We start from the raw sequence: 26,268 nt of genomic DNA, 5'->3' as shown, positions 1-26,268 counted from the left end.
AGAGAGAAAGAAAACACATACAAAGATGCAAAGGGGATACAGCTATGGCTGAGCACTGTGGCTCACAAAACTTTAAATAGTTTGCACCACAGGAAGAATACAGAAAAATGAAGGAAATGATGCTTAAAAGAGAGTTCTACAATCCCATCTTTCTCATGCACTTACTAAATGAAAAGATTCTGAGGGCCTAGGCGTGAGGGGGGCCACCAAATGGAGGTGGCCTGAATCCCTGAATCACCTTGTGGTACATCCCATGGAGTACCTGGGAATGGCTCTCTTCATGCCCAGGCACCAGATCCAACAAAGTGCAGAAAACACAAGATTTAGAATCAGATTCACGGGTTTTAAGTTTTGTCTCTAATACCATGTCACTTTAAACAAGAAACTGTCCAAGCCTCAACTATAAAACAGAAATAATATGACTCCTTCAAACTATTTCTTAGGGTTGGTATGAGGACCAAAAAAGACAATGTATTTTCACATATTTTGCAAACTGTACTTAAATGTTAGCTATTAATGCTATTATATACTTTACATATTCAAGTAAACATCATAATCATAGTAATAAAGTTATAACAGATCTAACCATGGGAACCACAGTCATTCAACTACAAAATTTAAATACAATGGGAATAACTGCATCCCAAGATGGCAGGGGTCAAGTGATGGCACTCAACCATCAAACGCAAAGTAGGCATAGCTACCGTAATGGACAGCAAGGGCAGAGCAGCAATCAGAATAGTCTGACTTCTGTAGAGCTCTGGCATTGGCTAATTAATCACAGCATTCCTAAAAGTGAAATTGATAGGAAGCCTACTGCATACCTACTTAATTTATATAAGCAGAAAACTTCTAGGTCAAATGGACAAAAGACTAATTTGAATTATAAAAACAGAGAATCAAAGCCCCTCAATCAATTTTCAGACTTGAGCCAGTTTACAGACCCAGAACTCCTTGAATGAACGGGAGGCCGGGTCCCCTTGAGGAAGAAGCCTACCGCATTACTGACAATTTATGCAGTGAATCTTTCTCCCATCCTTCCCCAAGGAGACCTCTGGCCTTTTACCACGGTAACTGTACATTGGGGAAAGGAAAATGATCAGTAGAGGAAGTAGTCATCAATACCAGCCATGACCACGTGACCAGTTACAGAAATGAGGACTGTAATTATCATGAGTATTTCCTCCTTCTTTTGTTAAAAACATGTTTGTGTATGTATACACTTGCATTAAGAAAGTTTCTTCATTTTATTTCCTTTTTCCTTCATCATGTGACATAAGATTTATTGACTTCATATCAGCATTTAAGTATTGTTAACTTTATGTAGCAGCATTTGGGCTGAGGATTGGTGTGTTTCTGGTTGTACAAAGGATAGTTGTATTATGTTAGGCGTAATTTTGACCTTATTATTGTCTTTATTTTAAGATTATGTATGATCTCAGGAGATGTGTATGGGTTCAAGTTGACAAGGGGTGGACTTGGGATGGTTAATACTGAGTGTCAACTTGACTGGATTGAAAGATACAAAGTACGGATTGTGCGTGTGTCTGTGAGGGTGTTACCAAAGATTAACATTTGAGTCAGTGGGCTGGGAAAGGCAGACCCACCCTTAATTTGGGTGGGCACATTCTAATCAGCTGCTAGTGCGGCTAGAATAAAGCAGGCAGAAAAATGTGAAAAGAGAGACTGACCTAGCCTTCCAGCCTACATCTTCTCCCATGCTAGATACTTCCTGCCCTCAAACGTTGGACTCTAAGCTCTTCAGTTTTGGAACTTGGACTGGCTCTTCTTGCTCCCCAGCCTGCAGGCTATTGTGGGTCCCTCAGCCTATTGTGGGACCTTGTGATTGTGTGAGGTTCTAGAGAACCCTGACTAATACATCAAATAACACCTGTGTTCTCTTTTGAGTCATCTCCAGACAATGTGCCAGGTGCTATAATAAAAATATGGCAAAATCACAATAATTTTTTAAAAGCAGACAGCAATCCACTTACATTATGTAAGGGTGAGTAAGAGCAGGCACAGGAAAAAGTTGGAAGAAAAGGGGATACATGCGCTGATTCTTGAAGGATAAAATGTCTTTCAGATAATGAAGGAGGTCAAAGGTCAGTGTTGGTAGATGCATTTTTGGTAGAAAGAAAAAAATTTTGAAAATAGCATGACAGACCTGGAAAAAGGAAGGATTCGTGGCTTTGAAGTGTACAAGGGGGCCTGAGATCAGTGTGCATAAAGTCAGAAAGTCAGGCCTTCTATTCTACAACAAGGAATTCCACTTCAAGGGCTGAGGATAAGAAATCACAAAGAAGGAGGGGAGTGACATGATCACTCCGGAAGTAGTGTAGAAGATGGATTAAAGAAGTTTAGGTTTGGAGTAGCAGAAACCAGTTAGGAAACTGAGCGACTAAAGCAATGGCAACAAGTATCAAAAGCAGGGAATGGATAAATTTGAGACATATTTATAAAGCAGGACTGGTAGAAACTAGCAACACTAGACGTGTGGGGTAAGAGGGACAAGGATCTTCTAAGTAGAACTTCAAGATTTTTTGATCTGGATCCCAAAGGGGATGGAGGGAAATAGGATGAAGATCAGAGGTGAAACTGCCTCTGAAAAAGAAATGGCATGAAAAGAGCTGTGCCTCTACAACAGATAATCTTCTACGTGTAAAAAAGGAAACTGGAAGAAATTTAGCATTAGTGGAATGAGGGACTCCTTTATCATAGATTTTCTCTTATTCTCAAATTACCACAATACCCTCATTAGGAACACAGCTTCCACAAAGCCAAGGACAGTGTCTGGTATATAGTAAGCACTCAGCGAGTATTTGCTGGAAAAAAAAGAATGAATTAAAAATAACAGAAAAATATGACTATATTGAAGAATTTTGCCCCAAAATTCAGTTTAAATACTGTCAACTCCCACTGAATGTTGAAGTTGCATTTTTAAAATCAACATGTCAATCAAAAACATGTAAAAAAGAAAATATAATGAGTTGAGGCTTATAAAGCAGACAGACCTCCAACGTTCAGAGAAGGATGTTGGTTTCTTTTTAATCTTCAGTGAAATCCTCGTATCAATTTTCTTAAAAGCTTCAAAGTAAGAAAGAGCTGTAGATTCACTTAGATGCATTTCTGAGCATTGATGCACCTCTATCGAACCTGTTCAGCATTTCTAATTTCATGCTAAAGAATGAATTTAGTGGCCTATTTTTGTACAATTTTCTTTACTATTCTTATTTCCACTCTTACATTGAGAAGATGTTCTACTATTTTTCACAGATGCAAAAAGCAAAACTAAATAGAATATGCAAAAAAGATATTGATGGATGCCAGCACCTTCAGCACACTGGACAGAGTAAGAGAGCTTCAGGTGGTTGGCAAAGCATTGCAGGTGACAGCGATACTGGCAGCCACCAGGAGAGGCTGCAGATGTACTAAAACTTCAAAAACAAAGTGGCTGGAACAAATGTGACTGTACAGAATATATTCTAATAATCAACTAGCTAAAGTGAAGGCAATGAGTGTGTGTGTTTGTATGTACGTATATGTATGTGTGTGTATCTATATATATATGTGTGCTCAGGACAGTGTAGAGATTTAAAAAGTATCTTTTAATATTCAAGAATTACAATGAAAGGTACTGTAGACATACTGAAAGAATATTCAATATCCATCCAATTTGCCTTATACATTTAAAACTGCCCCCATCACTTTTACCTTCAATTCATTTGCTCATTTACTCAAAACATTTTTAGTGACTGCCTGTTAGGGACCAGAAGGATGTGATTTACAATCAATAAAAGTAAATTCCCAACTCACTACAACTATGTTAGGGTCTCTCAATTGGGTCCATACCTGCTCATGGCTTCCTGTGATAATTCTGCATCTGGTTCTTGGCTAATCCCTCATGTCAAGCTTCTCTCCTCCCTCCTTGACTGAATTTACTGTCTCCAAAAACTAGCCTACATATTAATGTTGGCTTAAGAACATTGACTTACGCCAGGTATGGAGGCTAAGGTGGGAGGATCGCTTGAGCCCAGGCATTCTGCAGTGTGCTATTACTGCACCTCTGAACAGCCACTGCACTCCAGCCTGGGCAACACAGCAAGATCCTCTCTCTTAAAAAAAAAAAGAGAGAGAGAGAGAATGTCGATTTTAAGTTGCCAATTATCTTTCCTTAAAAAGGATGGATCTTAATTCTAAGAAAAATCCCTTTTCTTTAATAAAAGTAGCAACTCATGTTAATTGCCAATTATCTTTTCACTGACTGATCAGAAAACCCAAAGTCTAGGAAACATGTCAACTAATTTTTGCTCCGCTAGCTTTTACTACCAAAGCTGTAGGAAACAGTCTACATTCATCATGAAGAGAATGTGGCTTCCAGCTATGCTGGCTCACTGCTCTGCTGGACACTGCTCCACCGCAAGATCTCTTACTGCCCTGAGAACCTCCTTGGCCCCACAAGATAAGAAATCAAAAGATTTCTTGGAAAGCTGTTTAGAAGAAGTTTAAATTGTGAACAGTTTTTAGGATCACAGGATTCTGAAAGTTCTTTTATTCCAAATTAATGATTAAATATTATATTTTATAATTGCTCATTTCAGTAGTATACTGACACAATGACTAACATAAAGAAATCATTGTTAGTCTATGGATGACCAACATAGACATCATGTCACACAAATGTCAGGCACCAAAGAGGACATACTATATGATTCCATTTATATGAAGTTAAACCATAGGCAAAACCAATCTATCTGTAGGGATAGAATTCACAATAATGGTTATCTCTCAGGGAAAGGGATTGACTGTCAATATAAGCAAGTCTTCTAGGGTACTGAAAATGATCTATGTCGATGTCTAATATCTTGATTTGGGTCATGGTTACACTTATGTATACACATGTAAAAATTCATATAAATATACAAATATTTAAAAATATGTGTACAGATTTATACATTTGAATGTATGTATGTATAGCTCAATAAAAATTTTAAAAGATTTTTAAAATTTAGAGATTCTGAATTTACAGAGTCCAATTAAGTAACATACTTCCATATTCCTTCACTAAAGAGTGATACCCTAGAAACTTGTTAGTGTTAGTTTTTTTTTCTTCTTGACATTATTGAATACTTTCTCATGTATTTACAATGTGGTATTTTACAGAAATGGACTTTGAAGAATGCTCATCGAGTTTAAAAATAGCAATTGTCAAAATTACTATTCTTTCACAACTAATAAAAACAACATAAAAACATCAAACATTCCAGCAATTATTTCAAGTGCAACAAGAAAGTCAGACCCAGCACTTCCCAGGTTCATAACCACTACTCTTACCAAAAAATGAAATTAAGGTAATTAAAAACTAAAACTTCCTTTATGATGCTTCCACCTTCTTCTCCTTTCTAGCTGGCTCTTCTCACTTATCTTGCTGAATCAAAGAAGTTTCCTTTCTCGGTTAATAAATAATAAAGTCCTGAGAAAATAGCATTGCTTATTTTGGGGCCTATTTTTGTTTAACTACAAAAGGAAAATAAAAAAGATTTCATGACCATGAAATGAAAAATACTTCACAGGCAGTATGACACATTTTTTAAAAACACAGTAGGCAATATTAATGATCAAATGTTCAAATGACACTTATGACCAAAGAAGAGTCTTTGGTATTATATAGCAGACCCAGTAACAAAGAATGCAAAACAGAAACAGAACAAATCGGAAAGAGGGGGTGTGTGTGTCTTTCTGTTTTCTGAGGAGCAAGGGGAATGATAAAATAATTTTCCAAATCATACAAGGAAACAATGCATAGCCAACACTCAAAGGAATATACGTTATTAAAGGGAGAGACTGTATTTTCCCCCTAGGTATGCCTATGTTATTTTTAACACCAAATTACATTATCAATTCAGATTTCAAAATCAGATGTAAATGGCCCTGTGGCTGGACATAAACATATTTCGTCAAATGCTGAATAAGCACATTTTGGGTACTGCAGTCCAAAAGACGAACACATGTTCAGAATACATAAAAAGCAGCATACAAATTATGCAAGCATTTTGTTCTGAATAGTCTTTTCTACTGTCTTTTATATATAAGCTGCTAATAAGGTTAATCGATAATAAAAAAAAATAATTGATAAAGAGACGAAAACCTGCATCTAAAATATCAGCTTAAATCTAGGTCAAAATCACAGCAGCAAAGTCATGCTGATTTTAGGTTTATTTGGAAATACAGCGTTGGTCCCACATTAGCTTTTACAACAGAAGAAAGCTAGTTTTCTTTTTCCTTTAACAGTCACTGGAAGAGTTAAGTTATACTCGTACGTACCAGTTACTGGACATGAAAAGGAAAAAGAAAAATACAAAAACAAAAGCAGAGAAGAAAAAAAGAAAGAGGACAGAAGCAACTATATGGTAGGGAGGGGTGGCATTCGTCTAACAACCCCTCCATGAGTCTCTTTGTGTTCCAAAGAAGAAAGTCAATGCTGAAGCGACACAGAAGTCAACTATACTCCTTGACTCTGCCAATGATAATCATCAGCATTAAGCTGAAGTATAAAAAAGTAACTCAAATGAGCAAGATTGGAAGAAACATATCTACCCCGAGCTCTGAAGCTGCACAGTATATTAGGAAGGCTTACAATCAGAGATTTAAAGAATGTAGACCTGGAAATTCAACAACCAGTTAACTGCATCATAACTTCAACTTCTGGTTAAGCATTTCCATGAAAAATATTATCTCCCAAGAAAAGCTTTCCTATTTCTGCTGCCTTATTCATTTGAAAATTCTCATTGTGTAGAGTAGAATCTCTCTAAACATACAACCAACTAGTTATAATCCATACTTATGAAGCAACAAATAACAAAATAACTATCTCTTTAAGTGATTTCTATATAAAGTGATCTCTTTATATATGTAAATAGATAAAAAATCTTCTGTTTCTCCTCTGTTTTTCACTAACATTTCCCGTTTTCCCTACTGTTTCTCATGAGAAACCGCCTATTCTTTTGTGCTAACTAGATTGGGATGCCTCACCTCTTTAGAAACTGCTGAAATGTGCATAGATACATGGGTTGATATCTTGACTGGCTCTCCATTTTATTCAGTAGTATAAAACCGCCCAGTTAGTTGCAATCGGTGTTTAGCCATATGTCATACATTTTGAAAATATAAAAGTAAAAAAAGTTTAGAATGAAATTTTTTAATCTCCAAAAGTTAGGTGGTTTGAAGGTTTATAGCATTTAACATTTATAATATTAATTCAAAAGAAGTTACTCAAATACAGGGTTTGAAATCTATGTATACCAACCACTCAGCACTTCACAGACCTTACAGGTCAGGCAGACTGAAAACTAGCAATATTTTTTCATAATTCTGAGCATAGGGGGAAAAATGGCTGTGTTTCATAAAAATGCAACAAGGTGTCTATATTTCCTCCCATGCATGAATAATATGTGATCTACAACATTATTTGCTAGGCTGTCTAATCACTAACATCTTTCAAAATGTCTACATAGGCTTTAGCTCATTAAGAACAAACATGCATCTGTATAAAAATATCACATACCTGTGAACACTGAGAATAATATTCTGCTAAATAAGTATCAATGTACACATCAAACTGACATGGGTAGAACAATGTCACTGCATTTTTCAAAGATAAAAATATTAGGGAAAATGTGCTTAATTATAACAGCAAATTATATATGCCTTTGATCTGGAAATATTGGCAATATGTGATATTATAAGTACTATAATTATTAAAACAAAAAGTATAAAATAAAAATGTTAATCACAATTGTCTTTTACTTTGAAATGTCACTTTTGGAAACAGAAATTACTAGTTAATAGCATAATCACCTTTGGAGCCTTTCACTCCTCCAGGTTTGGATTTAGTTACTTCCTGTCCTCCTAACTTTAAGCATCTCTTAATCATAGGCATTTCAAAGCTATTTCACAAACAGGCCATGAAACAGTACCCTGTACTGCTGCAATATGGCGATTTCTACATGTAACATATACATCTAAGAGTAATTTTTAGAAATTATTCTCTATACATTAGATGATATGACTACAACTACTTGTTCTGACTGTTACTAGTCTTAAGAATGTTACACAGCCAACCATACTGTCTATCACCAAAAGCCCAAGTTGCCAAGAGAGGTTCATCTTCTTAACTGACCTAGATGCCAGGACTTTACTCACTGACCAATAAATATTTCACTTTTTGCTCTACCTAGAAAGACATTAACTGATGTCTGATCTTAATGAGGTGTGAATAATTACTAGTGAAAAATGCTCATAGCCCAGATATTCAATATTCCAGCAGTGTTCAACAGAACCAGCATCAGTAACACTTTGCAATTTGAATGGCATCATCATCCCCATGTCCCCAGCCTCCTGCCTCTGCCATGTCACTACAAGACTGCAAACAACTGTTCTTTGGTTCTCCTGTAAGAAACATATTACTTCATGCATGCCAAGTGTTCATTACCCTAAAGAGCCAAATGCCTTTTAAAAGCCAGTTGAAGCAAATAAGCAGCAATTCTCCAACATACTATAAAACTCACTTTTTGCATAAACTTTTAAATTTCAAAATGCCAGGCCTTCAGATTCCCTAAATATTATAAAAGCACTGCCCAGTCACAGAATCACAAAACTTAACAGGTAGAAAGCAACATCCAAACCAACCAACTCATTTATTTAATGCTTTTCCTTGCTGTTTTCTCTTTCTGGTTAAGCGTTGTCTCTTAAAGAGTAAATTTCTGAAAGAAATGAGGTATAGTATTATCTTGCTTGCTTTACTCTTTACCTACCAAGACACTGTCATCAAACACTTAATGAATGTTTTTCCTTCCTTTACAGATAAGGGAAACAAAGGCTCACAGTGATTTGGCAGACATCAAAACTTAGAATGTGTTCATTTCTACCCAGCCCCAACACTTCACTTTTAGTGGTCTAGTTTCTCTCTCTCTCATACAATGCACAAAACTCCTTTCCAGTTGAAATAGGGCTCCAATGCTAAAAGGACGATTAAATACCACTTTAATTAATAGTCTGTTCTGACAGTGAATTTTAATATATATTCTCTAAAGGAGGTAATTAAGGTCAAATGAGGTCACAATGGCAGGGCCCTGATCCCATAGAGCTGATATTCTTGTAAGAGGAAGGGACTCCAGGGAGCTCTGTCCCAGTGCACAGGGAAGAGGCCATGTGAGGACTCGGAAGGTTTCCTTGGGCCAGGGTGTACTTGTTCCTGAGTCATGTCCTAGCTAAACCCTGTTTCTAAAGCAGTGATGGGCTGCATTAAGTGCTGCCATCCTTCTTTGACAATTCCACCTGTTTAACTGGGACTCTGTGGTTATGAGGTGCTAAGTGCACCTGTCAAAGGCATGACTTTGTTTCAATTTAGCAATGCTCCTACCAATATACCTTATTGGTCCAGGAAGAAAAAAAGGCATTAGAGTATTTTCTGAATGATACTTCTGGTTAGGTGCAAGCATTTAGATTTTCTAAGAAATAACTTGTGTTCTCACCTGTGTTTGCTACATGAAAGAACTGTACTAACAAATCTAAGGCACAATAAATTATCTGTTTTTAGACTTGGAGAGAATAAAGAATAAGAAATGAATGAAAACACAAAGAGAAAAATAAATTCTCACTCCTTCTCCCCACAAATCCCACAAATAACAGCTACAAAGTACTTTCAAATTTCCTGAAAAGACTACATTATATATTAATTGTAACAAAAAGTGTCACTCTGATTTAAATTGTGGTTGATACTGCAATAAAATGTACTTCATTGCCAAAGGTTCCTTTATATGCAGATCATGGTTAATAACTACCATGATGTAATTATTCAAAAATAATTATTTTTGGAAAGAAACCTAAATCCATGTCAGAACTACACAAAAGAAGAGAAATAATGTCACTCAAATTCCAACATTAACATATCTTCCTTCTGTTCCCCAAAATCAAGGCCCATAACATAAATTCCATTTATAAGAATGAATTCATTCGTCTTAAAAGTCTTCTAGAGAGAGCTGAAAGACAGGAAACATGTCAATGGAAGAAAAAAAGGCATCAGTTATATCATTTTCAGAGTCTGTATTTTAGGGAAAGTATTTCAGAATCTATCCGGGCATGGCTAGAAACCTTTGTTTTAATACGGTTTTGTTCATTTAGACCCACAGGCAGAAACACTGATTAGATGACCCATTATTGGCTGAGCATAGTGGCTCACACCTGTAATCTCAGCATTTTGGGAGGCCGAGGCGGGCGGATCACCTGTTAGGAGTTCTAGACCAGCCTGGCCAACATGGCGAATCCCTGTCTCTACTAAAACATATTAGCCGGGCATGGTGGCGCATGCCTGTAACCCCAGCTATCTGGGAGGCTGAGGCACGAGAATTGCTTAAACCCAGGAGGCAGAGTTTGCAGTGAGCCGAGATTGCACCATTGCACTCCAGCCTGGGCGACAGAGTGAGACTCCGTCTATTTAAAAAACAAAAAACAAAAACAAACAAAAAAAAAACTATCATTAAAAACATTCATTAAAGGTTTAATTACAGACAATGTCTTGGTAGGCTAAGAGTAAAGCAAGGAAGATAATACTAAAGCCCATTTCTTTCCAGAAATTTACTCTCTAAGAGACATGCCTGACTGTAAAGAAAAAACAATAAGGAAAGCATTAAATAAACAAGTAAAGGGATAAGCGGAGTTAATGGGGAATGAACAAATTAGAAGTCAGTATATTTGACGCTAACATCCTGTGAGATTTCCTAGTGATGGAACTGCAGTAGCTATGAGAACAGTATAAAAATAAGTTAGCAAGATTACCAGAATTGAGGACCCGGTATAATAATTTTATGAAAGGAGAGTAAAAACGACTGCTGAGAATATATAAACCAGCATAACGGGAAACTGCTCTGTGGTATTCTTAGAAGGGTGGTTGGAATTGTCAATATAGAAACCCGCTAGGCTGCAAAGAACGCACTGCTAGCTGAATGAAAATTATGAACTGAATGATTTTAATAAATGAAGTGCATAGAACAGTCATGCAAAGTTTCAGGAAGACAGAGTACCAGTGACACCAGACATAGGGAAAAAGTAGCAAAGGAAAGTGAAGGACCTACGCACTTGAAAGGGATTCTCCCTCCACTGAAAACAAATCTGAGTTTGCCAAGAGACCACGTAAGAAAAAAAAATGATACAATGTTTAAATAGGTCCTGACTTTTGATAAAAGTCAACTTGTGATAAGTTCCTCTAGAACTTATTTTATTTTTGAGATGGAGTTTCGCTCTTGTTGCCCAGGCTTGAGTGCAGTGGCGCGATCTCAGCTCACTGCAACCTCCGCCTCCGGGTTCAAGTGATTCTCCTGCCTCAGCCTCCCAAATAGCTGGGATTACAGGCACATGCCACCATGCCTGGTTAATTTTTGTATTTTTAGTAGAGACAGGGTTTCACCATGTCGGCCAGGCTGGTCTCAAACTCCTGACCTCAGGTGATCCACCCACCTCGGCTTCCCAAGGTGTTGGGATTACAGATGTGAGCCACCGTGCCCAGCCAAACTTATTTTTTAATATGAGCTAAGTTATAAATATAGAATAATTATTGTAATCAATTAGAAAAAGAGTTTGGCAAATTGGGACAGAAAAATAATATGAGTCAGTTGATAACAAGTAGAAACACATTCAAGAGCATTAGGAGAGGGAACTGCTGAGTAACAGGAAATGTGATTTCTCAATCATGTCAAACCAGTTTTGAGAGAGGCTGAACCAATTTATATCCTCCCACAAGGTATAGGACATCCCACTGATCCATGTCCTCGCCAATATGTGGTGTTTTCAGGCTTCTTCATTTTTGCAACCCATGCAGCTACCAAGAGAGGAGCTTGCAGGTAAGGATATGGTCTTATTTTTTTCTTTCCCCAGGACATGGCATAATCAGAGTCTAGTAACAAGCATTGAGTAAAACTAAAGTGAAGGAGCCTAGTCCTGAACCAAGATTATTTGTCATGTTTTTCATTTGAAATTTGCAATCCTGTACATTTTTCCAGCTTTCATTCTTCTGCACTGCCTCTCCCATTAGGCTACACTATCTTTCAAATAACAGAATGCTAACTCATACTCACTTAAACTAGCATAGAATAAAAGCAATGACCATTCTAAAGAATAGAAAACATATCTACACAATTTTATTTACATAGTCTCATAAAAATAAGAGTAACTACATCTGAACAAGAGACCACATCTAACTTGGAGATAGGAAAATATGCATCATAAGTATTCAATAAATATTTGTTGAATATAAAAGAAAAATTTTGAATTATAATAGTACTAATAAAATACACAAGCGTGATAATGAACACTGGTTCGTTTCATTACAAAAACTAAACTTCTGAACTTTAGAAGAAATAATAAATCCAACACTCAGGAAATGCTGAAGTGTGAAAACTCAAATAAAAAAAGTAAAAATCCACTAAAAGATCTTAGTCATTTCAAGTTCCACAAGCCAATCAGGAGTTTTTGACAAGGTTGCAATTTGGGCCAAGGGCTAATTTAAACTCCATCATAGTCATCCGTTTATCAAAGAATGAACTTACCTTTCAGACCACATAATATTTTGGGGATTTCCATTAAGAGATACACAGAGAAAGAATGAATGATAAACTACATCAGGGAACAAACTTTTTCCGGTTTTAATCACTAGTAAGTTAAAATTCTGAATGAAGGTAGAAACCAAGTAAGTGAGTAAAACCACTGGGAGTATTACCAAGCCTTGAAACAACTATCTAGCAAAGCAGCATTTATAAAGACTTAACAAGTAGCTGTCAAGAACTGTAATACATTAAGTTCCACCAGAGTCTTCTACAAAAAAATGCATTTTATTAAGTGTAAAATAAGTACTAACATATATATTTACATATATGTGTGTGTATATATATTTCATTCTAACTTCACATTTAAAAAGAAAAAACTTAGAGGAAAAATCTCTTGAAAAGTGGTTACTGACAACACGGTTAATAGTTTCTAAAGGGTTTCTTTTCTACTTGGGAATAAATGTAAGCACAAGAGTTCCAACTTAGCAGCAAATTATGGCATTAAATCTAGGTTAGAAGATGCCTATCATGATTAAGGTATTTTCCAATTTCTAACAATTAGCAACATTACCTAAGTAGAAATCAATTGTAATTGAAGAAGACAGTGAAAACTAAACTAATTACCAAAGTCAAATAAAAATAATCAATGTTATTTAATCTATAATTCTGTATGTTATAATTTACTTATTATATACATATAGTACTTATCAACTAAACCTACAGAGAAATAGTTTTAATTCTCTTAACCTCTTAATAGTCTTAATTTTCTTAATCCCATGGTTCCTAAATGAATTTACCTGCTACAAATCTCTGCTACAACAGACTTCTTAAAGGCAATAAAATTTCTTTAAAAACTTTTTATTGTGTGAAAGTCAAGTTTTTGTTATTTAATTTACATATTTATGTTTTTGTATTTAAAATCAATTGAGGAAACTAATCCACTACGATTTAGAACACTGGTTAGCTATATAAGAGATTAGAATGTAATTAGTTCTAATGGTATCAATTTAGTAAGTCTCGGTTAATGAGAAGGTAGGATAATTGTAGTAATAAACTGTTTATGCTTGGAGAAAATATACATAATATTATATCTGGTCAATTCAACAGCATTTGTTTAACTGTTATTCTAAATGCCTCAAATATTATAGAAGTGATGTGAGAAAGGTAAGGTGATATTCTGAAGTACCTAACATTTAGTAAATCCAGGAGTTTCTGCTCTATTATGCGAAAATGCCACAAATATATACTCTGGTTCTTTACAGAGAAAACACACAATTGATATATTAGATATCTGGATCCCAAAAGGTGCATTTTAAAAATTGTGGTAAAAAAATACATAACATTACATTTACCATCAACCTTTTTTAAATGTACCATACAGTAGTGTTAACTATGCGCACATGGTTATGTAACAGATCTCTAGAACTTTTTTATCATAAACTGAAACGTTTTATCTACTCAACAATTGCCCCTTTTTTCCACTCTCATAAAGTACCTTTTTAAAAGTATTTAGGATTTATATTTTTTCTTTAATGGAGGCACCATGGATTCTTACTTTCCTATAATCATGTTATCACAATGAACTGAGCATTAGAATAGATTTCACTCTAGTCATATCATGTTATCATTCAATATATAAAAACATATGTTTGATGTATATGTCTTTCATTTTTTATAAATCATATTTCAGAGACCTGCCAATTCTCAAAGGATATCTCAGACATTGGTGTAAATGAGAGGGACAGATTATGGGTTTGCAATTTTTTCCTGTAAAGGGCCAGAAAATAAGTATTTCAGGCTTTGTGGGCCATATGAGTCCTGTTGCAATTAAAAGTCTGCACTTGTAGCACAAAAGCAGCTATGGGCAATACATAAACAAATAAGCATGTCTGTGTGTCAATAAAAATGTATTTAAAAATACGTGTGCAGAGTAGATTTCTCCAGTAAGCAGTTTCCAACTCCTGAGATAGATAAAACAGAGAGAGGGAGGGAGGGAAGGGAAGAGGGCAGGAGAGGGACAGAGGTAGCGAGTGTGAAAAAAAGAAAATCAAATAAAAGTATTTACTCCTGAAAATAAGTAGCTACTCAGTGGGATTGAGATTATCTGCTAAACTGACTAACTTTAATAGTGAGGCCCTAAAAATGGAATAAATTTCTTTTATGACTTGTTTCAGTGCTGACTCAACAACTGGCATTCAGTAGACCAGCATAAATAATGAAAATATTGATCTTCAGTAAGTATATCATAGCACTTGACTTACCTTAGTAATGGGTGGAATATGACGGTAATGTTTCTGGCTCCAGGTTTGCAGACAAATTTTGTTCCTCCACCTTCAATTAAGTTGTCATCAGGACCCCCTTTCAGAAGAAAGAAAAAAAACAGACTTAGCTCATTGAAACTTTTATAAATAAACAAACCAAGCATATCTAGATGAGTCCTATACTGTCATAATTAGGACCATCTTTGCAAACAGTAACCTTCGGTATGTACGAAATTATTTTGAATGACTTCATCTGGTCTTCCTCACTTGAATAAACAACAGATTAGAATTTTCACTCTAGCCGGGCACGGTGGCTCACAGCTGTGGTCCCACCACTTTGGGAGGCTGAGGAGGGTGGATCACTTGAGGCCAGCAGTTCGAGACCAGCCTGGTCAATATGGTGAAACCCCATCTCTATTAAAAAAAAAAAAAAATTAGCCAGGCATGGTCGCATGTGCCTGTAGTCCCAGCTACTTGGGAGGTTGAGGCAGGAGAATTGCTTGAACCTGGGAGGTGCAGGCTGCAGTGAACCAAGATTGCGCCACTGCACTAAAGCCTGGGTGACAGAGCGAGACTCCGTCTCAAAACAAACAAACAAACAAACAAACAAAACAAAACAAAAAACAGCACTTTTACTCTGAGTAAGAACATGGACTCACAGTAAGAATAAATGCGACATTTAAAGGAACAGTGCAAGGCTACAATTCAGTTAAGGTGAAAATTTTGGTCTCTAATGACCAGTGTCCATCTTGGATAGTATGGCACATAAAGCTTTCAGAGAAAGGATGAAGTGCCTGCCATTCAAAGTTGCTGCATGTGTAAAGATTGGAGCAGAGATTCATATAAGCCTAACTGATCACACTTTATCATATCTAAGACCCCAATGATTATAAGACACACTATTATTTTATGTATCACTAAGAAAAAAAAAAGTCCTGCTATTTAAACTATATAATGCTTTCTTGGAATGTTTCCTTTTCCTTATTGAATAGCTCCTTTGGCTTTTTACATAAACAAATGGTTACCATAAACCTCTCAGGCACATTCAATAAGGAAATATAAGAAAAATAAGTTTGTTAAGGTATTCTTAACACTAAATAATATTTGAAGTCTAGCTCTTCCGAATCACTCTGACTAAAGAGTTTTCAATGTCCTTGTTTTCTAAACATTGTCATCCAGTGTCACCAACAGCGTGTGTTTCATAAAGCAGTGCTCCATGCTGCATCCTATATTTTATTCCACGCTGCTGATATCCATCCTGCAAAGTTTAAAGTTGATGCTTTCTTGATGCTATCAGAAGGTTTAAACAGAAGGCTTTCCTATTCCGACCAGGACTCATACTCTTTCCTCAAATGGTCCTTAATTGCTTCATTAACGGAAACAATGAAGGGTCATGGTGCAAGGAGTAACCCAAGCTCACACACACTGTGTGGGTGACAATTCACCATGACTGGTTTCCAGTAGGCAGCCACTGATTTCAGATACATCCTAATTTCAGAGAGTTTAGAATGTGAAAAGATGTATCACTTTGGATGTTGGGAAAAACACTCTACCCCCACTTATGTTTCTTGCCACTATAATGAAGTTCAACTAATGTAATCTCTGACCTCTCTCCACCTTTTACCCACTCCAGGGGAAGTGATATAACGCCTGACTGATAAAAATTGAAAAGAAAAGGCTGGGCATGCATGGCTTAGCAACTCCCATATTCCACTTTAGAAACTAGAATGCCTGAAGATAGTTCAGTGGTGTCTGGTGTAAGTTTAGCTATAAAGGCCCCGCTTTGTCAGAGAAGGCTTGAAGTGGGCCAACATCTTTTCTAAATGGGTGAGTAAATCTGTTTAATTGTGATGTTCAGTTAGCAAGCTTTGTTTGATTCTCAAACTGGGTTATATCCTTCAATCTAGCATAAATCAATATAAAAGTGACATTTCACTAACTATCTACCTTAATTATTTCTCAATAGTTTCAAAACCCCAGCAGGAAAGATGGCTACTATTTAGTGGGCTTCCTCAAAACCCTAGCAATCTACACTCGCAACATTTGGTTTCCTTCTTCTAAATTAAACATTTTCTTTCTGAGTATAGTTCTTTGTATGTTACCAAACACAGCTAAATCTCCCTTGATTTATTATCTATCTTAATGGTCTCTGGGCATCTTGGAAATCGACTGATAAAAACATGTGAAGCTTCAGAAATCCATACCCTGGATCATCAGGACTTCCCAGAGGCATCAGAGTCTAGACATTTGGATCAGTTGTTTCTACCAACTAATCAGAGCATACGTTTTCTTAAGAATAACAAAAAATACAATGGCATACTCAACCCTTAATTAAAAATCATGGACTGTTTTTTCTCATTTAAAAAAAATCCATCTTGTACAATATTTGCATCAGAGATATGAAGGTGCTGCTAAGTTTTGCTGAGTTAAGGAAAGCATGAAGACTGACACAAACACTACACTTTTAATAAAATCCTCCTTGAAAGGTCATATGGTACGGTTACAAAAATGATAAATAAATATAACTTCTTTAACAACATATTTCCTTTTAAGATTATAAAATCTAGTCAGAATTGATTCATGAAAGAGATGTGTATAGAAGAAACTAGGATATATTCCACACTTCAGGAACAGATAAATAAGTCTACATAAAAATAATGTAATAATCGACTCAATATGAACATGTCTTTTGATAACCTTTACGAGATAGACTAGATGATTTCCAATGGTTTCTAAATATTCTTAAGTGCTACGATATTAGGTACTCATTAATTAAATTCAGACCTGACTAACCTGGCTCCAGTCAAATGAAAACCTTCATGTATAGTTGCGCTCTATGCATGCGCACCTCTATGCCTCAGCCACACTGCGCTACCATCTGGAGGTCCCTCTCCCCTCGTACCATTTCTTTAGGTCCCACATCTATCCCCAAACTGTCAAATGCCCCTGTCTCAAAGTCCACAATTTCATTAACAGTGACTATGTATAAAATAACCCATTATGAACCTTAACACAAGTCACTTCTGTTACTATGTGTTTTCTTCCTTATGTCACTTTTTCCCACCAGGAATGTAACTTCCTGGAAAGTGATTATACAAGAATACATTTGCTGAATGAAAGGAAAAAAGACCTAACTTGCTAAAATGTTATAGCAATTAGATGAGACAGTATGTGTGAAAGCCTAATAAATGTAAACTGTCAAAACCCGAATCAATGTAAGCAACTGTCAAAAACTAATACAGGTAAGCAAATCTCCCTGTATCCTCAAAGCTGTATAGGGAGTAGGTGTGCTTAATAAACGTTTGTTGATGACCATATTACAGAGAACAAAAACAACAAAAGATAAGCTACAATACCAAAAATAAAACGTCAGAGTCACTAGAAATGTCAGTGAGAGGAAGATTTGGCTGTGAAAATATATGCACATTGACAGGGTATGAGATTAGATACTAAATAATACTTTCATTAGTTCTAAACCCCTGCTAGCTACAGAAGGATGACTACTGATTCACATAGTGCAGTTAAGCTAAATAAAAAGTAAAGTTCGGGCAGAAATATGAAAAAAGAGACTCTCCTCCCTACCCCAACACCTAAACAGAATTCCACCTACAGGAACCTCATATACTCTTCCAGTTTCATTACCAAGTGCCATCTATACTGCATTTGTCACGATTTCCTCTTGAAGATGAGAAGTCAAATGTTTCTTACTACATTACCAATAAATAGAGCCAACCCAATGAAAATATTCTTGAAAATCAAGCTGTCAGAAACAAAAGTAAAGGTCACGGCCAAAAATCATAAGGTCTGAGTCCTGACCCCCGGAAATCTACTTCAGCATTTCAGTATTCTGGGTGAGAAACAAAACTCACTTTTCCTCATGAGCCTTCTCATGATCAAATAACCTGGGACCTACTGTCAGGAACCTTTTTTTTTTGGAGATGGAGTCTTGCTCTGTTCCCTAGGCTGGTGTACACTGGTGAGATCTCAGTTCACTGCAACCTCCGCCTCCCAGGTTCAAGCGATTCTCCTGTCTCAGCCTCCTGAGTAGCTGGGATTACAGGCACGCACCAACATGCTTAGCTAATTTTTGTATTTTTAGTAGAGACAGGGTTTCACCACGTTGGCCAGGCTAGTCTCAAACTCCTGACCTCAAGTGATCCACCTGCCTCAGCCCCACAAAGTGCTGGGATTACAGCTGTGAGCCACCGTCGCTGGCCAGGAGCCTTCTTAAGGAACATGTTGTTCAATCCTGGTTAGAGCACTGGACAGGTCAGAGCACTCCTTCCCTTCATTATATTTATAGTCTAATTGCAGCTGTGAGAGGCCAGGTGATAGGCACCAGAGAAAATGTCGAATGATGATGGATGGCTGGAATGCAAGGGAAACTGACAATAGTATTACAAGGACGATGATTTGACACGCTGTCCCAGGCAGCTGGCAACAGGCACCAAGGCCACCTGATAACTGCTGGAATGACAACATCTTAGTGTTCATAGGCTGGTCCCTTCTTTTAGAATTCATTTACTTTTAAGTAATAAGATTCCACATTTATTTATTCCTTGATTCTACCCAACTAGAGTTTAATGTGGTTTGTAATAAATATTGTCATATTAATAAAACACAAACAGAAACCAAAGCCTCAGAAAGAAATAGAAACAGGATTCTCACTGAAATGACTATGGAACAGAGGGAAGAATCAAAATGATCTTGTGTCAAACATCAGACCACTATTCATTATTAGCATAAGTGTGATAAAATTATTTAAATTCTCTGAGCGTCAGCATTCCCATTTATAAAATAAGGATTGCAATAAACTTTTTCAAAGACTTGTGGTGATGTTTAAGGGAAGTAACGTAGATAAGGGCATTCAGTACAGTGTTCTGTGCCTAGTATGCTCTTCTCCTTTTCCATTAGAATTGCCAAACACAGAACGATCTAACTGATTTCACAAACTAGGGAGAAAGAAAGTCCAAATTCAAAAAATGTTGTTCTTGTTACTTTAGGCAACACAATACTAGTCAATATCATTAATGAGACCAACTTTACAACAAATGTGTAAAACATGCTTGCCTTATTTTTGTGGAAATATTACTGTAAGTGAAAGATTTAGAAATTTGCTGGGAACACTTAGCAGGACAGAAAGAACTTTCTCTAGTCTTAATTTTTACTTTTTTTTAATTTATAAAAACATTAGATAGTGTTAGCCATCATTCCCCCTACTCTTTTTTTTTTTATAAGAGATGAGGTCAGGCTGGGCGCGGTGGCTCACACCTGTAATCCCAGCACTTTGGGAGGCTGAGGTGGGCAGATTACCTGAGGTCAGGAGTTCAAGACCAGCCTGAACAACATGGTGAAACCCTGTCTGTACTAAAAATACAAAAATTAGCCAGGCTTGTTGGTACATGCCTGTAATCCCAGCTACTCGGGAGGCTGAGGCAGGAGAATTGCTTGAGCCCGGGAGGCAGAGGTTGCAGTGAGCCGAGATCATGCCACTGCATTCCAACCTGGCCGACAGAGCGAGACTCTGCCTCAAAAAGAAAAGAAAAAAAAAGAGAGAGAGAGATGCAGTCTTGCTCTGTTGCCTAGGCTGGAGTGCAGTGGTGTGATCACAGCTCACTGCAGCCTCAACCTTCCAGGCTCAAGGGATCCTCCCACCTCAAGCTCCTGAGCAGCTAAGACTAGAGGTGCACACCACCATACCTGGTTCATCTTTTATTTTTTGTAGAAACAGGGTCTCAATATGTTGCCCAGGATGGTCTTGAACTCCTAAATCAAGCAATCCTCCCACCTTGGCCTCCCAAAGTAGTAGGGAGTACCCAGCCCTACTCTTTATTTTTCAATTAAAAATAATCAATATTAAATGTATAGATGTTGAAATTATAACCATCTTGTACTAAGTGCTCCAATGAAAATAGCATAAAATGATCATGACTTTTTGAGCCATAGGAAGTGGCATGCCCCATCTGACATTTTTAATGTGTCCTGATTTTTAAATTGGCCTTTCCACGTAGAAAAGAACCACAGTGAAGGTGAATTCTTTTATAGCAAATATTTTGCTTCATAACTACTTTCTAAGGATTATGAAATAGTATACAGTATAATAAATATGGAACTCCTGACTGCATCAATAAATGGGGTCTTTAATTGGCTCTAAGAGCCAGCTGAATGGTTCAAGAGTTCCCTGAATTCACAGCTGTCACCCTGCCAGAGGGGTTCTTTTAGATTACATTCCTTAGTAAGTGCTTATTCTTAAAGCACATGCGATCATTATGGCTTAATGCTGTTGCTGCTCCTACCACCACCACTAAACTTGTCACAAAGGTAACCTTGTTACAAGTATGTGACCTTGGGTTTGTTGCTATATCAAGAAGAAAACAAAGGTAAAATACTTATCCTTGCCCTCAAATGATTTACTATGACAGCAAAGTCAAGTAAATCAGAATTAGTGATGGTACTGTATTACCCAAGGGTGAGCTGCTGCTGGACACAGGAAGAAAATCCAGGCAACAAGCCCCTTCAAGGAAAGAATTACCTATTGCACTCAACTCTTAGGTAGTGTGTCATTATTATTAATAACAACAATACTATTTTGTTCATAATTGTATTCTTTGTGCCTAAGATAGTTTCTCCCGGGGAATAAGCACACAGTACATATTTGTTGAATGAACATATGCACAAACAAAAAACGAGAAAGAATGTCTTTTTAGACCAAGTGAATTCTACCTACAAACCAACTAGGAGCAAATAGTAATTATGTTTTTACATAAAGTTTGCTCAGTGAGAAATCCATGTTTCAAGAAAGGGCTGAAAAAGTATATTGATTACAGTATTATTTATAAAAGATAATCTCCCAAATAGAAATAAATTCATTATTCTCATCATAAGACAAGTAAACGTCTTGTCAATATTGTGCTCAATTATATTTTATTCTTGTGTAGCTCTCGCGTTATACTTTAGGTTAAGACAGGTGCCAAGTTATTATCCTGGATATGTAGAAAAAAAGGAAAAGAAGGGAAAGGGGCTGATTCTGATTTACCAAACATCTACTAAGAAACTGGCACTTTGCTGAATCCTTTACATAAAAATACTCACTTCATCCTAATAATATTCCTATAATATTATTATCTACCATAGAGATGAAAAAATGGAGGCTCATGGCAGGGGATTAAGGGGCATGAAGTGTCTTGCTCAAGGTCACACATAGAGTAGGTTCATTATTCAAACTTCAGTCTGTTTCTCCAAGAACAGTTTTTTCAACTATATATCCTACAATGTGCTTAGTATCATTTTATGTTTCCAAGGAATTCGCAGGTTGAATAAAAGGATCCAGATCACAGTAGTGCAGGAAAAGTCTAAAACGGAGTACTGAACCCTGATATTGTGATGGAGTTTGACACACAAAATATTTTCCATGGAATCAACTCTAAATAAAGCAGCTGGTTATTCAAGACAAAACACAAAAAGCCTCACTATAAATGTAGGTGAAGCTTAAGAGAAACAATATATAGGTTATGTCCTATATATATAAATATAATGATCATGTATGCAACGTTTGGGGGGAAAACACATTTAGTGGTCCAACTGAAGCTAGAAATACTCTCCTCTCTAATACAGTTCCAGCAGCAAGAACTAGAACTCTACGTTTTCCTGTCTCTCCTGACTAGTAGCGGCTATGATGATACTTATCCCATCCTCACCTTCAAATTGCTGGTGAGAGCTCCCTGGATGTCAAAAACATGAAGGGAGGAACAAAAAACAAAGGTTTGCAACCTTCAAGAAAAGAACTGTGAAGAGTTTGCCTGTCATCCCAGAAACACTGACAGAAATCCACCTATTCTGTTTCTCCTACAAAAGAAGAAAAAAAATCGGCCAGGTGTGACGGCTCATGCCCTTAATTCCAGCGCTATGGGAGGCCGAGATGGGAGGATCACTTGAGGCCAGGAGTTACAGACCAGCCTGGGCAATGTAACAAGACCCTATCTCTACACAAAATTAAAAAATTAGCCCAGCATGGTGAGGTGCAACTGTAGTTCCAGGTACTTGGGAGGCTGAGGCAGGAAGATAGCTTGAGTCCAGGAGTGCAAGGTTGCAGTGAACCATGAGTGCACCACTGCTCCCCAGCCTGGGCAACAGAGTGAGACCCTATCTTTATTGGATGGATGGACAGACAGACAGACAGACAGACAGACAAAAGAAAATAGTCAACAGACCTTTCTTGCTTCTGTTACTGTTACCACAGATCATTTCCACATTTCTAATCATCCAAGACCCAAACAACGTCTTGCAGTTTCCTCACAACACAGAAAAAAGCTATGGTTTGAATGTCCCCTTCAAAACTCACATTGATTGCCATGCAACAGTATTAAGAGGTAGGGCCTTAAAAAGGTGGCCATAAGGCTCCAGAGAAATGAAGGAAATAAGGGAAATTCCAAGGATCTCAACCCAGAGGAGAAAGGAAAGATCCTTTTGGTCCTCCCTAGAGTCACTCACAGGTATAGGCAAAATGTCAAGACAGAGAATCTAAATTTAGGAGTACCTAATGATGGATTATTGTGAGAAGGACATCTCTCATATGTTTTGAAGTAAAAAGAACAGCATGTCACGTGTATGTGCAGTATCTTACGTGTGTTGGAAACGTCCATGTCAGTAGACTGCTAGAATGGAAATAACTAATCGGAGTTTTGCTTCAAGTAAGACTCTCTCCTAGATTTTTGGCTAATGACCATAAAATAATTCTCATAAACAAATAAAAATCATATTTTTTTTTGTAGTTCAACAACTGAGTACATTCTAGCTCCTAAATAACAATGAATTCTACAATAATCTACTATTTATTTTGAGGTAGTCTCTTGGTTTAGAAAACAAAACAAGAGAAAAAAAGTACCTTTCTCAATTATCTCCTTACAATAAATTAAAAGAGGAGTGGAAGGACAAGATAACAAGGGAAGAAACAAAAATGAAGCAACAAATTTGAAGGTTAATAATAGCTCATCCTGAGCCATCAGTAAAATGTGTTCACCTGGAGCTCTTCCATGAGCATAAGTCAAAGGAGGATCCATTAGCAGCAGTGCCCAATGTTTCTATAATGGAGTCTGAAAATGGCATGTTCTAGGAAGAGCAAAATGTAAGATATGAGCCAATTACCAAAGGATACACAGTGACTCCACGCATATTTTTAAATGGTTGATCAACAAGGCACAAGGGAGTTTTAATTGACAACCACTGAGGAGCATTCCTACCTTTGTGACATTATCCTACAACTCACTTTATTTTAAGGTTACTTTGGAAGACTGCAGTAATTCTTCTCTTTCCACTCTTTAACTGATTCTCCAGATTTAATTATCTTGAATCTATTAAATATGTTTTAGTGGCTATTTGAGTATATCTAGCTCAGAGATTCTCATGTGTGTGAGCTGGGGAACCCTACTTCTAATTACATTTCATTCTTTTTTCACTAAGCATAATGTTTTCAAGGTTCATCAGTGGTGTAGCAGGAATCAGTACTTCATTTCCTTTTATGGAAGAATAATATTCCAATGGATGTATACACCACATTTAATTTATCCATTTATCAGCAGATGAACATTTGGGCATCTCTACTGTTTGGATTAAATAATGCTGCTAGAAACATCCAGGTACAAGTTTTGTGTGGATGTATGTTTCAATTCTCCTCAGTATATCTAGAACTGAAATTGCTAAGTCATATGGTAACTCTGTGTTAAACATCTTCAGAAACTGCCAGATTGCTTTTCAAAGAGGCTGGACCCTAATGCTAGGTTTTTTGTTTTTAAGTAACTAGTTGGTTAACAGAAAATGGCTGGGCCCGGTGGCTCACACCTGTAATTCCAGCACTTTGGGAGGCTGAGGCGGGTGGATCACTTAAGGTCAGGAGTTCGAAACCAGCCTGGCCAAGATGGTGAAACCTGGTCTCTATTAAAAATACAAAAAAAAACTAGCCAGGTGTGGTGATGCACGCTTGTGGTCCCAGCTACATGGGAGGCTGAGGCACGAGAATTGCTTGAACTTGGGAAGTGGAAGTTGCAGTAAACCAAGATTAGGCCGCTGCACTCCAGCCTGGGTAACAGAGGGAGACTCTGTCTCAAAACAAACTAACAACAACAAAAAAAAACAAACACACACACACACACACACACACAGAAAACAGGGAGACAGAGAAGGTAGGCAGCACGCAGAGAAAGAAAGTATTAATATTTTCTTCTCTAGGCTCTCTCACCTGGCTCTTGTAGGGGTGGTCTTGTGTATGTCAAAGAATCATTGAGAAGGCATTACCAGACATAACAGATGATGGCTACAGCAGAAGCACTGGGGAACTGGGCCAACTAGGAAAGTATCTGTGCTATCTGCATTCTTTGTACTAAGTGTCTATTCTGTTTTATCCCTCACAATTAAAACAGACAATATGGTTTCTCTTCTCACTCAAGTTTCAGATTGCAGAAGACTTTACTGTTTGCTCTGTAATTCCTGTAACAGCAAGAGTGATATGAAGGACAACAGAATGCCATGAAGTTCTCTAATCAGGTGAGCCCATCTCATTGCTGACCTAAAGCGTATGGTTGGCTAGCTGAGAATCCTCTGATGACGGCTTGCCAGTTGGGCAGTAGATTTCTGATGTGAATAAACCTCAAACTGAAAACATGTTGAGCCTATCAATCTTGTTTTGTCTGTGAAAGGGTCCACAAAAGAGCTTAGGCCACTGGAAATGATTAGTACTAGTTCATATAGAAGAAATAGTGTTGTTTAAATGCTGTCATTGTCTTCACGCACAGAGGTGTGCTTAAATCTAAGTACTCCCAAATTTGGAAAGAAATTATTTTGAACGGATTGGCATAACAAGCATAACTCAAAATGACTAAGAGAAGCCGGAGAGATCGAGTGCTCTGTAAATACAAAATCAGAGTCAAAATACAGGTTGCAAAACATGGTGCCATTTAGCTTACTGATAAAGATAATCAGAGCTGGCATCTAAACAGAAACAGCATTATTTCATGACTCATTAGAAGCATCTGGATTACTGAGGCACAGGTGGCTTTAAATAACTTTACCAGCAAACCTATAGTTGCTGTTTAGGCTTAACTGGCAACAGTCAACTTTCCAAACACTCTAGGAAGCAATTTTTGTAATATTCTAACAAAATCAAAATCAGTCTTCCAAGCCAGCAAAATATGAGCCATGACGAGATCAATACTCAAAATTACAATTGCTAGAGGCATTTTTCCTGTTTTCACAGAGAATGTTACATATTATGATATATAATATTACTTGTTGTACATTTACTATGTTCAATAAATAATTGACAAAAATAATCATCATTTTATAGTCTATCCAGACTCAGACTATTTCCCAGATCTCCAAGGTAGAATACACTTTAAATTTTTGCTCTGATGGAG

At 37.0% G+C, this 26,268-nt stretch overlaps 1 protein-coding gene across 10 annotated transcripts in view; it reads right to left on the bottom strand.

Annotated features, from left to right (window-relative positions):
* EXOC4 (exocyst complex component 4) overlaps positions 1–26,268 on the bottom strand; it is an 847,874-nt gene that overhangs the window by 455,950 nt on the left and 365,656 nt on the right. For all 10 annotated transcript variants that reach the window (XR_007060126.1, XR_007060125.1, XR_007060123.1 and 7 more), the window contains one exon: positions 14,861–14,957. Coding sequence is in view for 2 of the 10 variants with exons in the window: in NM_021807.4 (NP_068579.3) it covers positions 14,861–14,957 (97 nt within the window). In the remaining 8 variants the exon portion in view is untranslated. The remainder of the gene's footprint in view (positions 1–14,860; positions 14,958–26,268) is intronic.

The sequence above is a fragment of the Homo sapiens genome, chromosome 7, assembly GCF_000001405.40.
Source record: "Homo sapiens chromosome 7, GRCh38.p14 Primary Assembly".
NCBI classification, from domain to species: Eukaryota; Metazoa; Chordata; class Mammalia; order Primates; family Hominidae; genus Homo; species Homo sapiens.
The sequence above is the reverse complement of the archived record's forward strand: the minus strand, read 5'-3'. Positions and strand labels throughout refer to the sequence as shown.